The 14,976-nt window shown below is 53.0% G+C and overlaps 2 annotated features.

Annotated features, from left to right (window-relative positions):
• Nucleotides 4,438–4,937: an enhancer, noted in NCBI's record as "H3K4me1 hESC enhancer chr1:4401985-4402484 (GRCh37/hg19 assembly coordinates)". NCBI's record gives its function as "activates a minimal SCP1, AML or CMV promoter by ChIP-STARR-seq in primed H9 embryonic stem cells {active_cell/tissue: H9 hESC(primed)}" and the evidence as "EXISTENCE:reporter gene assay evidence [ECO:0000049][PMID:30033119]".
• Nucleotides 4,938–5,439: an enhancer, noted in NCBI's record as "H3K4me1 hESC enhancer chr1:4401483-4401984 (GRCh37/hg19 assembly coordinates)". NCBI's record gives its function as "activates a minimal SCP1, AML or CMV promoter by ChIP-STARR-seq in primed H9 embryonic stem cells {active_cell/tissue: H9 hESC(primed)}" and the evidence as "EXISTENCE:reporter gene assay evidence [ECO:0000049][PMID:30033119]".

The following is a 14,976-nucleotide window of genomic DNA, read 5'->3' as shown; positions in this document are numbered from 1 at the left end:
TAATCAACAGAATACGAAGGCCTACCCCACACAGCCAGGCCAGCTCCCAGCTGTTGGGAGCTCTTGGTCATTTACTCAGCTGCTAGACAGACTTTCTGACTTGGATGCTTGGTCAAGGAGCTCCTGCATCTGATGATAGCTGGCCATCCTTGGCTCCTTTGCCTGCCTATGTATTTATCCTTCCTACAGGTTGGACCCGGCTTCCTGGGCTCAGCTCCTTGTCTTGGCCATGATTCTCAAGGAAAAGGCTCCTCAGCACCCTTGGTGGGAACAGATTGCATCTTCCTTCCTCAAACTCAGAGGCCAACCACAGGCAAGGAGATGAGCAGGGCCCTTCCTCAGCCCTGTCCACCCCAGAATTTGGAAAGCAGAGAAGACCATTCAGTGCATCTGGCCAGTGTGTGAACGGAGTGAGCTGAGTGTCTGGGAGGCAGTGTGGTCTCCTGGGGAAGGTTCAGGCCGGGAGCCAGAGTGCCTGGCATAAATCTTGACTCAGTGTATTCGTTCATTCTCACACTGCTATAAAGAACTTCCCTGAGAGTGAGTGAGTAATTTGTAAAGGAAAGAAGTTTAATTGACTCACAGTTCTGCATGGCTGGGCATACCTCAGGAAACTTACAATCATGGTGGAAGGCGAAGGAGAAGCAAGTACTTTCTTCACAAGGCAGCAGGGAGAGAGGAAGGAAAGAGGAACTTCCAAACCCTAATAAACCATCAGATCTTGTGAGAACTCACTCACTGTCCGGAGAACAGCATGGGGGAAACGGCCCCATGATCCAAACACCTCCCTCCCTCGACACATGGGGATTGCAGGTCTCTCCCTTGACAGATGAGAATTGCAATTCAAGATGAGATTTGGGTGGGGACACAGAGCCAAACCATATCAGTCAGTGACTGTAGTGAGCTAGTGCCCCCCCACAGTCCATGTCCATCTAGAGCCCATGAATGTGACCTTATTTGGAAATAAAGCCTTTACAGATCCAATTAAGTTAAGATAAGGTCCTAGTGGATTAGAGTGAGCCCTAATTCAGTGACTGGTGTCCTTGTGAGGAGAGGAGAGACACACAGAGGCACGGAAGAAATGGCCGTGTGCTGTTGGAGGCAGAGACTGGGGTGATGCATCTAGAAGCCAAGGATGGCCAAAGAGGGCCAAGGACGGCCTGCAGCAATGGAGCCTGGGAGGCTGGGGACTGAGTCTCCCACATAGCCTGAGAAGGAGCCCACCCTTCCTTCCCCATGACCTCAAACTTCAGGTCTCCAGAACTGCAAAAGAATATGTTTCTGTTGTTTTAAGATCACCCAGTTGGTGGTGACTTGATAAGACAGCCACAGGAACTCGTACAGTGACCTTGAGTTTCCCTTCTGCCGCCTACACCCCTCAGAGTGCAGGGCCGAGACCCTCGCCAACGTGGCCTCCCTTCCTGGCTGGGCTCCGGCCCTCTCCTCGCTCATGGCTATTGTTCCAGCATCTGCGTCTGGCTGCAGTGGACCGCCGGCCGATGCTGCTCAGCGCATCAAACAGCCACTGGGTAATGACTATCATTATGTAATTGTGGTGTCACTGAGGCTGGTGATTTGTCATTGTTAATGTTTATGAAGTGCTCAGTCCGTCTGCAGAAAATGATAATAATAAAAAATAGGAGTAGATCCCCTCTGACAGCCCCAGGCCAGCACCAAGCAGAGAGCCCAGGGAGGAAGGCACGCACGCAGGGGTGTCCGGGTGGGATGGGAGGTGACATTACTAAAGGCTGGCAGGTTACTAAAGATCTCAGCCTGACATTCTCAGTGCCTTCAAATAACCACCCCTAAAGACACTCAGAAAATGCTCATGGATATTGCCTGACAAGCTCCAGCAGAGATGAAAGAAGGTCAAGTCAGAGACCAACACTCATTACAAAGCCAGACAGCACCAGGCCAGGCACAGTAGGTGGGAAGGGGCATGTGAAATCAAGAAAGTGGACCTATTTTTTGTGTCTGCCTTAACCAAGACAAGAAGATGGGCTGGGGCTCTGCACTCCTGATTTTTACCCAGGCGTCTCCTGCCACTGGTATCTGAAGGAGGAGTGTGCAGGCTGAGCTGACCAAGGAGGCTTCCTCGAAGAAGTGGGGTTACCTGGAGCCTTCAAAAGGAGAAGAAGGGAAAAGGCGAGATAGTTTTCATTCCCCTAACACATGCGAGGGCATGATGAGTCTATTTCCACTTTCCCCTTTGTAAGGGAGGGTTACAATGACCATTATAACATGAGGCCTCACAGGCTGCTGTCGGATAAGAGGCCCTCAGCGGGTTTCCCAGTATTCTCCTGGGGACAATTTCAAAGCAAGCCTGAGTTTCGCTGTGGCTTTCAGAGATGACATCCATCAGGCAGCCCTCTCCACCCCCAAGGTGGCCTCTGCGGCGTCTTACGTGGGGCTCTGGCCGGCTTCCTTCAGGCTCAGGAATCATCTCTCCTCAGCCCCTCGGCCTTCGGAGCCACCCCTGCCAGCCTGCAGGGATGCTGCAAACGGAGCCATGGGCAGGGCTGTAAACCTCTGCAAGATTTGTGACTTCAGCCTGAAGTCAGTGGACTAGGAGAAAACGGAACTTGAAAGAGACATGAGCTGATGCAATCAAGCGGGCTGTGCCATGATCTGAAGTAGGTAGTTCCCCTGAATGCTAGTGAAGGTTCACTAGGACCCTGGATGGACGGGGCTAACTCAAGAAGGGAAAATGCTGTTCTGGGTGTCTTCCGTCTGGACTCAGAGTTTCTGCCATGAATAAGATGACTCGAGGGGCTGCGCCTTGAGGATGATTCACTGTGTTCATGTTTAGGATCATCACGGAAAGCAGGGAGGTTCCAGATTCCACGGATTCTAGTTGGATGGAGTGGATGCAGTGAACCCCATGATTCCAACCCCTCCATCCCAGTCACTGTCTCTAATACAGACCACCCAGGTGGGGCAGGGCCTCATTAAGGCAGGTACCTGAGCTCTCAGAGCCTTGATGTCCACAAGTGCAGGGAAACCACTGACCCCCAGAAGAGACCATCAGCCCCTTCCCCAGAGCTCTCTCATGGCACCTGCTCAGTTCAAACAAAAGCATAACTCTGGACTCACTAAGGAGAGACTGGATTCAGAAGAATTCTTGCAATAGGGAGTGGGAACCATTGCAACAGGGGAGGGGCCATTGCAGTGGGGGAGGGGCCATTGCAGTGGGGGAGGGACTACTGCAGTGGGAGAGGGGCTATTGCAGTGGGGGAGGGGCTATTGCAGTGGGGGAGGGGCTACTGCAGTGGGAGAGGGGCTACTGCAGTGGGGAGGGGCTATTGCAGTGGGGGAGGGGCTACTGCAGTGGGAGGGGCTACTGCAGTGGGGGAGGGGCTATTGCAGTGGGGCTGCTGCAGTGGGGGAGGGGCTATTGCAGTGGGGGAGGGGCTACTGCAGTGGGGGAGGGCTGTTGCAGTGAGGAGAAGGCTCCCACCATGAGACCTGAAAGCATCCCAAAAGTTAGGCAGAAAGAGGCTTTTCTTTATGGGATTAGAAAGGACTGGTGTGGGAGGTGAGAAGAAAAGGTGGAGGTGGCTCAGTGGGACAATGGATCAGAGAACATTTGACCCTGAGGCCAGCCTGCTTTCAGACCGGATGGCCGTCTATGGGTTCAGGCTGAGGGTAAGCCAGAGTTCAGGGCCTGGGGTGGGAGAGAAGCAGAACTGTTTCACTAACAAGCATTTTGTTCCAATTATCAGTGGGGACAAAACAGTTCCACTAATCATCTGTGAGGCAAAGAAATGGAATTCAGAGGGGCTGTGTCTGGACTTGTCCTGGGTAAACTGGTGGGGGTGTCTGTGAGCCTCACCTAGGTTATATGAGGAGGGATGGTCTTTGCAGGGAGCTGTTCTGAGGAGCGCAGTGGGTCACAGGCTCCTGAGCAGTGGCTGTCAACCAGCACCACAGGCCTCGGATGAATTCACCATGGTCATTGGCCTGCGGCACAGCCTGGACCTGCTGCAGAAGCATGCCTTGCTCTGGGCTCTGCCCACCGAGATTCGTGCGCCTTTCTCAGTGGTAAGAGGTTTGAGGTGCCCTCACCTATTTTTGATTTTGGAGGGGATGCCTTGACATGGCCCAGACCTCTGGATCCCTGAAATCTTCACTGACAGGCCCAGCCCTGGAGTCTTTGTTGGGTTTAGCTCCTGCCTTTGGAACGTGAGTGTCTCACCAAAGCCTCTAACGTACCAGCTGCTCCTTCCTCGCTGCTCCATTCACGTGATGCCGCCATAGGGTGAGCACACACACTGTTCTGCAAGGTGCCCAACCAGCCCAGCCCTCCCCTCTCGGACCATGCAGAGGTCAGCATGAGAGAAGGCATGTGGCCCTGGACCAGGACCAGGCCCTGGACCAGGAACTGTCCTTGGCTGATGGGAGCCGCCTTACATGAGGGCAGGTCACCCCCTCCTGATTCCCACTCCAGGGCTCCCTGGAGGACAGACTGAGGCTCTCTCCTGAAGACACCACCTCTTCCTCAGCCCCTGCCCTGCCATCTCCTCCCCATCCATCCTTCCCTTGCAAGCAGGGCCCCGGTCAAAGGCACCTGAATCCCTGAGAGGCTGGCTCCGAGGGGGATTCTGGAGTTGGACCCCCCTACCTGGGGCAGGCAGGACCATCAGGAAGGGGAGGCACTGAGAGTCCCTGGCGGGCAGTAAGCGAGGCCACACTAGGGCAGGTCCACATGGCCCGGGTACCAGGTGAGTGGCTACTAGTTGCCAAGTGCGTTCTTGTCTACCTATCAGGTGGGATCAGAGCCGCCTGAATCCGCGGGGACACACAGCAGTCTACCTTCCCGGTCCAGGCTGTGTTACTTCTCTCGCCTCCATCTCTGCACAGTCCCAGAGGAGAGGGCTGGGCTGCCCCTGAGAAGGCTCAGGAATGGGGCACTGGCCTGCTGGGGCGTGAACAGCGTGTGCTACAAAAACACACATTCTTCCTTCAAAGCATCACAGGGCTCTCGGAGAGCTGTGACCGACTACCAACCCAGGGCAGCTGCCCAGCCTTGCCTCAGCAACAGTGTCCAGCCTCGGTGCTGCTTCCCCAGGGCTGGAGCATGGACATTACTTGGAATCTGGGGCTCAGCCATGTACTTTCCACATAGGGCCATGGAAGGCAGGTCGCCAGAGGCCGTCCAGGTGCTGGCTGTCAGACAAGAGAAGGTAACACACAGGATTGATATGTTTAATCTAATGCAGGGACTTTTCACTGTGGGAGGGATGATGCTGCATTTATCAGGATTAGACAGCTCTCCAGCGACGGAGCTATCCACATCTCCCCTGCCTTTCATGTGAGGGTTGTGTTATTAAATACAGGCCCCTGCCGCATGCCACATGCCGCTTTCTCAAAGAAAAATGTGTGTGCTTGACATGGCTTCTCAGAGTCCAGCACAGGGCCTCTGACCCTTTCAGTCGGCAAACAAAGGCCTCCCTGCGGAGTGGTGCCCGGCCCGGCTCTCTCCTTCCACCTTTCCATCTTCAGTCTTTACAAAATGTTTGGAGGAGTAAAGAAAGTCCCCTCTGACCAGGCACAGTGGCTCACACTTGTAATCCCAATACTTTGGGAGGCCAAAGCCAAAGTGGGAGGATGGCTTGAGCCCAGGAGATCAACACCAGCCTGGGCAATGTAGTGAGACCCCATCTCTACCAAAAATACAAAAATTAGCTGGGCATGGTGGTGTGTACCTGTAGTCTTAGCTGCCTGGGAGGCTGAGGTGGGAGGATCACTTGAGTCTGGGAGGTCAAGGCTACAGTGAACTGTGATTGTGCCACTGCACTCCAGCCTGGGCAAGAGAGCAAGACCCTGTCTCAAAATTTAAAAAGAAAAGAGTCACCTCTGACTCTTCTGCATGTTTGCAGGAGGGCCAGGCATTCCCAGAAATGCATCCCCCACTTCTTGCCATGAACCACTAAGGTAAACAGGGCAGCGGGAGCTTTTAAAGCCACACACATGACCTCACAGATTTGAGGCTGAGATTCCAGGAAACAGCAGCAATGTAAGGACTCAAGGGCCATGTAGGGAAGAAAACTTGCATGACACTCAAACTGCTCAAAGGGTAGCTGAATGTGCCCCGTCTTCCCCCAGGTCCCACCTGAAATTTTTGTGTCAAGATCAGTTGAATGTGCTTGATAAAATGCAGATTCCTGGGCCGCACTCCAGGCCTCCTACATCAGGATCTCTGAGGGCAAGGCCCAGGCATCTGCATTTTAAATAAGCCCCCAAGATGATTCTGGTGTAGCCCAGTTTGAAAGTTAATGGCCTCCACCAATGTGGATGGGAGGGGACAGTCCTCCAAGCCATAAAAGCCCTCCTGGCTCCTCACTCAGCTCAATGCCCTGGGGTGCAGGCTCCTGATTCAGTTCCAAGATCTTGCAGAATAAACCTGTGGCCTTTTCAACTGGAAGTGAGGGCCTTCCACCCATTTCCTGATTCCATCTCTGCCCTCGCCTCATTCTTCAAACACCCACTGAGCTCCAGCTGGTGCCAGGCCATGCAGGCATCAGGGCTACAAGAGCCCTCCTGACGTGCCCAGCCTCAGCACATGTCCTGCAGGACGTCTCAATCATCCTCCCCCCAGGGCCTGGCTTTGAAGGCAGCCTCTGATACCTCTCCCCAACTCCCTCCCCTGTGGCCTCCATCCCTTTCCTTAAAAGTTATCTGCTTCTCTCCACCTGACTTCGAGGCTGCTGCCCCATCCCTTCCCTTCCCCTCACCACTGAGGTCCTTGAGAACCCATCTCTGCCTGCTGTATCCAGGTCTTCTCCACCCATCACCGAACACTCCCACCTCGGGAGCCAAAGCCCTTTCTCAAAGACGACCAGTGACCACTGGATTAGGTTTCTGGGCTGCCCTAATTCCCATAAACTGAGGCCTTAAAATACTAGACATGTACTTTCTCACACTCCAGAAGGCCAGAAGTCCAGTGGAAACTCAGAGGAAGAATCCATCCCCTGCCTTTCCCCAGCTGCTGGTGGCTCCCACCATCCATGGCATTCCATGGCTTGTAGATGTCTCACCCCCATCTCTGCCTTCGTCTTCATGTGGGCTTCCCCTCTGTGTGTTTCTGTGTCCTTTTCTGTATCTCATAAGGACACTCCCATTGGGTTCAGGGCCTACCCTAATCTAGCGTGACTTCATTTCAAATCTTTATTGGTATCTGCAAAGCCCCTATTTCCAAATAAAGTCTGTTCTTGTGATAGTGAGTGAGTTCTCACGAGATCTGATGGTTTTATAAGGAATCTGAGGTTCCAAGGAATCGTGGATTTTGGGAAGATGCTATTCAGCTGAATGTCAAAAGCCCCTGGGCCCTCTGGACCTGTGGCCACCCCCCTTTGGGCCCCAGCTCTCCAAGGACTCCCATGCACAGTGCTCCCCTGGCCTCCTAGTAACTCTCCTCACCTCCGGTCAACACCGCAGCCTCCTCTTCCTCCACCTGCTCCCCTGAATTCTGTCCTCCACCCATTTCTTGTGACAGATACCACCTCCTTGTGTGGTCTCACCACTTCTGCCCTGCCCCAAAAATGTCCTGCCAGCCCCAGGCTTCTATGTGAGGAAGCCTCCCAGACAGACCCCTTCCTGTCTTACTTCCCATCTTGCCTAAGCCTCCAAGCCTGAGCCCCTCATCTTTGCCCAAGCACTTCCCACAGGCTGTGCTCACCTCTGTCCAAGGGAATTGAGTCTGTGTTTCCAACCAGGTCACAGCCTGTGGGCTGAAAACTCTCTTCATGCTTTGAGGGAGGCATCAGGAAGCGTCCACAGGGCATAAGGTGGAGGAACAGGAGAGAGAGAGAGGCCGTGCAATGAGGCCTAGGGAGCCAGAGTGCTCTGCTCCATGGGGCCCAACAAAGGGATTCAGAGCAATGGGATGTTAAATAAAAGGGCCTCATGGCCCCTTCCCAGCACAGGCATGTCTACCCACACCAAGGGCTGTGTATTAGTCTGTTCTCACACTGCTGTGAAGAAATACCCAAGACCGGGTAATTTATAAAAGAAAGAGGTTTAATTGGCTTACAGCTCCTCATGGCTGGGGAGGCCTCAGGAGACATATAGTCATTGCAGAAGGTACCTCTTCACAGGGTGGCAGGAAAGAGAATGAGTGTCCAGGGAAGGGGGAAGCCCCTTATAAAACCATCAGATCTCGTAAGAACTCACTCACTATCATGAGGACAGGATGGGGAAACAGTCCTCGTGATACAATTATTTATGAAACCATCAGCTCTTGTGAGAACTCACTATCACAAGAACAGGATGGGGAAACAGCCTCCATGATTCAATTGTCTCCACCAGGTCCCTCCTACAACATGTGGGGATTATGGGAACTACAGTTCAAGATGAGATTTGGGTAGAGACACAGCCAAACCATATGAGGCTGGGTCTGTGAAATGTGACCCTGGAAGAAGAGGAAGGGTCACTGGAGGTCACGGGATGGGTGGGGCTCACTTGGGAGCAGACCTGGCCTGGTCCCTGTCCTGTCCCTTTCACCTGTCCTATCTGAGCAGGCTACCAGAGCCTCCTGTATTCATTTCTAGGAGGAAGTCACGGGCTCCATCCTTCTTCCCGCCTTGTGGTCTGGCCTCAGCTCCTGCAGAACTCACCCATGGGTTTTGCCTTCTTTAGGGTAACAGGAGCTAGGCTGGGGGCCCTCCTGGCTTCGACACTCCTTCATTTGCACATTCCTCTGGGCCTTTCTTTGTGTTTCGAGGCACTGTCCCTTTAGTAAAAGGATGTTTATGCTTGAATTTAAAATAATAAGCATAAAGTATATTTGAAGTAATTAAAATATATGCTAGGCCACCCCGAGTGTGGTTATGGGCCAGATCTGGAGACACTGGAGCAAACCCACCGCTGCCCCCAACAGCCTTGCAGCCCTGGGGAGCAACTTCTCCACTCTGGGACAAGTTTCTTCTTTTGTCAGGTGGGCTGATGTTAGCATCTTCCTTATGGGGTTATCATAAGGATTAAGCAAGTTAATGTTATAAAGAGCTAGGAAGCGCGTCTGGTGCGTAGGTGCCTCTAAGAGTGTGTGAAATAAATAAAACCTAATTGTCTTTGCTGTCCCACTGGTTTTAGATACCCACAATCACAGTGATACTGCACCAGTGTCCCCAAAGAAGTGACCCCATGCCCCTTCCATCTCTCCTCCCTGCCTGGCATCCCTGACCCCCTCTGCATTGTGATGCTTAACAAGACACAGCCTTGTCAGCTCAGTCATAGAGAGCTGCCCATGGCATTTAGGAAGGAAAAATAAATGGTTCTAGTCTGTCTCTCTCAGAAGTCCTGGTGTCCCCAGGGGCTGAGACGCTGAAGTGTTTCACAAGTGCTTTTTTAGGATGTGGAAACATAAACGCAAATATAGTTCATTTGACTGGAGCATGAGGGAGGCCAGTGAGGTGGAGGCTGGGTTCTAAAGCAGGAAAGGACACTTCTCTCCAGGGGTGAATGTTCAGAGGTGCCATCCCCCAGGAGCAATTCCAGCACGCAGCTGCCCCTTACCCTGCACTCAGCCCCCTCTTCCCACCCAGCCCCACATCTGCTCTCTCCCAAGTCCTTGGGGGCTTGCTGGATCTGCATAGCCCATTAGTTGCTGACTTCTGCTTCCCGAAACCGCGCTTGTCTCTCTGACTCCTCTACTCAGCATCGCCATGTGTTTGTTGAATATTTTATGCAGGAAATCACCTGCACGGCACAGTGGCAGATACAAGAGCGGACAACATATGGAGGGCCCAGCCAGGTGAAAGGCAGAGATAAACAGGGAGAAAAGGCCACAGATGACATAAGTAATGCTTCTGGACATCAGAAAGGGAAATAGAGCCACCACTGCAGAAATGTCCAATGGATGACAGAGGTCATTGGAGTGGGGAGTCAGGTAAACATGGACAATAACCTCTACTGGCCTAAGTTTCCTCACCTGTAAACTAAGAATGCTAACAAGCCTCCACATCACAGGGTAGTTATAAGGATTCAAAGAATTCATACACGTAACGACTGGCAAGAATAGTGTCAGGCATGCAGCAGGTGCTATCATTATTGTCTTCATCACTATCACCGCCACCATCATTGTCATCATCATCACCACCATCATCACCATCATCACCACCATCACCATCATCATCACCATCACTATCACCATCATCATCACCCCCATCACCACCATCATCACCATCACCATCATCACCATCATCACCACCATAATCACCATCACCATCATCAACATCATCTCTATCATCATCACCACCATCATCATCATCTCCATCATCATCATCACCATGATCATCATAACCATCACCATCATCATCACATCACTGCCATCATCACCATCACCATCACCATTATCATCACCACCGTTACCGTTGACATTACCACTAAAATCACCATCATTATCACCAACATTATCATAGTTGTTATGTCCTAGATGCTAGAGATTGAACTGGTCTCTAAAAGATGTGCTATACTGGAATAGGAAAGAGGGATGGGGAAGCACATTGGGCAGGTTAAATGAGGTAGGTATGGAATAAAGGCTGGGAAGGTGGAGGATTCCTAAAGGCCATTTAGACTAAAGGGTCAGCAGCAGAGTCTGGTGGCAAGGTAAGCTGGGGTCAACTCATATCAGCTTTGTAGGAGGCTGAAATATCTCTCTATCTCCTCCTCCTCCCCAGCCTCCCTGACTCCTAGCTTTGCCCTTCTTTTCCTCAGACCCCACACTTGGGAGGAACCACCACTCCATCTCTGGAGCCCTTCCACACCACCTTGCTGCCATGTGTAGGGACGCAACAGCAGAGGCCCACGCATTATGCCCTGGGGTCAGCCTCTTCAGGCCACCCAAGCACTCCCTCCTTTACAGGGGCATGTCCCCTCCCAAGCAGTTTTCTACCCTGCCCTCTTGGTTTAAGGGAAGGACATCCCGGGTTTCTTCTTAGAGGCTGATTGAAGAGTCCTCCTGGGTTGGTAATGAGAATGGTGTGACAGGAGCTGGCAGGCTGCAAATGCCAGGCCTCCAGCTCTGGACTACTGTAATCGGAATAACATGGGAGTTGATTTGTTCTCTCCAAAATGTACCATTATTGTTAGATTTCCCACTGGCTAGCTTTGTCAATAGTCATTTATGTCTCCTTCCCACCCTGGGGGGACTCTTGATCCTTTCTCGGGAAGGGACTCGGCATCTCCTAGCTAGGCTGTAAATGTCTCATTATGGCTCTCAGCTGCACACTTGGTCTCTTTTCTCACCCTGGGTCACATTTCATTTTGGTTTAAATAATGAAACCAGCAGACTGGAGATTAGAGCCGTTAAATGATTTTTGCTCCTAGGAAATGGATGCCTGTCCAAGATGTAAACTCACCGACAGCTGAGGGGACCCTCTGGGCTAGTGGGACTGGAAAAAATAGACTGAAGCAGCCCAGGCATGGCTCTGAGACCACTGAGTCTTAGACTTGCAGTCTGAGAGATCAGGGAGGGCCACTTCCAGGCCACATGGGTGGGGAGACAGACACAGAAGGTGCATCCAGGACACGCTCTGCCTTGATGTAAACAAGGGCTGCCAGGATGAAGAAAGACGCCTTCAACCTTCATGGCATGGCAGAAATAATCCTTGCCCCACGGCACTTTTTCAAGTGCTTTGCCAACAGCCTTCATTTGGAAGTTCACCTGGGCTTGCTTTGCTGCCTCCATTGTGCAGTTGAGGAAACCGAATACGAGAGATTCAGAGATTCCTCACTTAACTGAGATAATCAAATCCTCCCATGGCCAGGCAAGACTGCAGCCCCATGCTCTTTCCACCTCACTACCTCACTGTCTCTTTCTTCTTCCAAAGGAAAAGCCAGGAGTTGAGAGCAGTGGCATGAGAAGCTCCAGGTTATGTCTCTAGGAGCAAAATTCAGACCACTCACTGTATACTGTTCAAAGGACGACTTCATTCCTGCTCCCCTGTAGACAGAAAGACCTTCTCCCTGGGAAGCAATAGCAGTAATTCTCAGGGTCGGGTCATTCTGAACTCTCTGAGCCTCAGTTTCCTAATCTGTAAAGTCAGGATATATCACAGCCCAGCAGGACTCCGAATGTGACCAGAGTGTATGTGTGGAGGCCTCTGAGCCACGGCTATCATTAGGATTGCAGCAAGGAGAAAGGCTGGCCTCTCTGAGCCACCTTCTGCTCACTTCTCCTCTGAACAGCTCAGGACAAAAAGAGCTGGAGGGAGTAATTATGTTTGTGCTGCTGGAGTGGGCTCCTGTGCAGGGTGGGGGGGGCATCACATTTTGCCAGCACTCCCCATAGATGGGAGAATGTACCCTGTGACTTAGAAACCTTAAGAGAAAATAAGCATCGTCTCACCCTCAGAAGGATGTGATGTGAAGCAGAGGGCATGTTCCATTAAGCCAACTGAAAGCAGCATGTTCCAAGCCACTACCAACAGGCACAAGAGCAGAGAGCTGGGTCCCCACTTCTCAGGCAGTCAACCCTGTTTTGGCCACTCAAGGAGCCCTGCTCACTCAGACCACAACCTACAAGGGCCACAAGGAAGAGGAAAGCCTGGCTGCCCACTAGGGCTGGCCCACAACAGAGGTTCTCATCCCTTCTCCCCCTACCTCTCCAACACTAGGTACTGGATCCCAATCCCCTCTCAAAGCCAATCCCTCCCTCCTCCCAACTAGCCTCCTTTTGCCTTAGGCCCCTGGCTTGGCTGAACCCTGGGGCTCCAGATGGATGTCCCTCTCCAGTTCCAGCACTGATGCTTAGTCAGCTCTAGCCCAGACAGCCAAGGGCTCCCAAGAGCATGGCACCCAGACACATCAAGAGCCTTATTGATGGGGTGCTGTTCTCAGTGCTATGGCTGAAGCATGGAAGGCAGGGCTGGTTCAATTCCCATTCTGCTGCTTTCTGAGCCTGGCTTCAGGCAACTTGCTTTACCTTGAGAAACCTTGACTTCGTGATTTGTGAATGGGGTAACAGTGAGATTCCTGGGGGAGCTGCTGCCCCATTTTATCATCTGTCACCTCCCACTCACCCCCTCCAACTCTGGCCTGGATGCCACCTTCCTCATTCTGTTGATTCTCAGCTTGCCAAGGTCACTTAGGCTGTTACTAGATTCAACAGATGCCTTATAGTCCCTGTCTGACTTTTAACCTCTCAGCACCATTCAACACGTTTTTCTCCAACACTTTCCTAAAATCCCCTCTTCTCTCAGCTTCCAGAGACCACATTCTCCCTCCTTTCCTCCTTCCTGGGCCCCTCCAACAACAGACATTTACGTTCTAACAGTTCTGGAGGCTGGGTCTCTAGGGAAGGGGTTTCCTGGGCTGGGTCTGTAGGGAAGGGGTTTCCTGGGCTGGATCTCTAGGGAAGGGGTTTCCTGGGCTGGGTCTGTAGGGAAGGGGTTTCCTGGGCTGGGTCTCCAGGGAAGGGGTTTCCTGGGCTGGGTCTGTAGGGAAGGGGTTTCCTGGGCTGGGTCTCTAGGGAAGGGGTTTCCTGGGCTGGGTCTCTAGGGAAGGGGTTTCCTGGGCTGGGTCTGTAGGGAAGGGGTTTCCTGGGCTGGGTCTCTAGGGAAGGGGGGTTTCCTGGGCTGGATCTCTAGGGAAGGGGTTTCCTGGGCTGGGTCTGTAGGGAAGGGGTTTCCTGGGCTGGGTCTCTAGGGAAGGGGGGTTTCCTGGGCTGGATCTCTAGGGAAGGGGTTTCCTGGGCTGGGTCTGTAGGGAAGGGGTTTCCTGGGCTGGATCTCTAGGGAAGGGGTTTCCTGGGCTGGATCTCTAGGGAAGGGGTTTCCTGGGCTGGGTCTCTAGGGAAGGGGTTTCCTGGGCTGGGTCTCTAGGGAAGGGGTTTCCTGGGCTGGATCTCTAGGGAAGGGGTTTCCTGGGCTGGGTCTCTAGGGAAGGGGTTTCCTGGGCTGGGTCTGTAGGGAAGGGGTTTCCTGGGCTCGGTCTCTAGGGAAGGGGTTTCCTGGGCTGGATCTGTAGGGAAGGGGTTTCCTGGGCTGGGTCTCTAGGGAAGGGGTTTCCTGGGCTGGGTCTTTAGGGAAGGGGTTTCCTGGGCTGGGTCTCCAGGGAAGGGGTTTCCTGGGCTGGGTGTCTAGGGAAGGGGTTTCATGGGCTGAGTCTCCAGGGAAGGGGTTTCCTGGGCCTAGTCTCCAGGGAAGGGGTTTCCTGGGCTGGGTCTCTAGGGAAGGGGTTTCCTGGGCTCGGTCTCCAGGGAAGGGGTTTCCTGGGCTGGGTCTCCAGGGAAGGGGTTTCCTGGGCTGGGTGTCTAGGGAAGGGGTTTCATGGGCTGGGTCTCCAGGGAAGGGGTTTCCTGGGCTGGGTCTCCAGGGAAGGGGTTTCCTGGGCTGGGTCTCCAGGGAAGGGGTTTCCTGGGCTGGGTCTCCAGGGAAGGGGTTTCCTGGGCTGGGTCTCCAGGGAAGGGGTTTCCTGGGCTGGGTGTCTAGGGAAGGGGTTTCATGGGCTGGGTCTGTAGGGAAGGGGTTTCCTGGGCTGGGTCTCTAGGGAAGGGGTTTCCTGGGCTGGTGCTGCAGGTCGTGGATTAGAGCTCTCTTTTCTCTATCATCTGGTTGTTGCCCATTTGTAGATTCAGCGTCTCAACAGGCTTTGAAAGCATCATTTGGCCTGCTCCCATCCCCTTCCCAGCTCCCCAGGGGAGCCTTCCTGGGGCATCCCTGGGGACTTGCCGTCTGTGCTGCCTCTGGTGCTTGATGTGTGTGCTGTAGTTGTGATGTGTGCGTGCTGCAGTTGTGACATGTGTGCTGCAGTTGTGACGTGTGTGCTGCAGTTGTGACGTGTGCGTGCTGCAGTTGTAATGTGTGCGTGCTGTAGTTGTGACGTGTGCTGTAGTTGTGACGTGTGTGCTGCAGTTGTGACGTGTGTGCTGTAGTTGTGACGTGTGTGTGCTGTAGTGACGTGTGTGCTGTAGTTGTGACGTGTGTGTGCTGCAGTTGTGACGTGTGTGCTGTAGTTGTGACGTGTGTGCGCTACAGT

This window comes from Homo sapiens, chromosome 1, assembly GCF_000001405.40.
Source record: "Homo sapiens chromosome 1, GRCh38.p14 Primary Assembly".
Taxonomy (NCBI): domain Eukaryota; kingdom Metazoa; phylum Chordata; class Mammalia; order Primates; family Hominidae; genus Homo; species Homo sapiens.
This window is presented reverse-complemented; position numbering and strand designations above follow the sequence as displayed.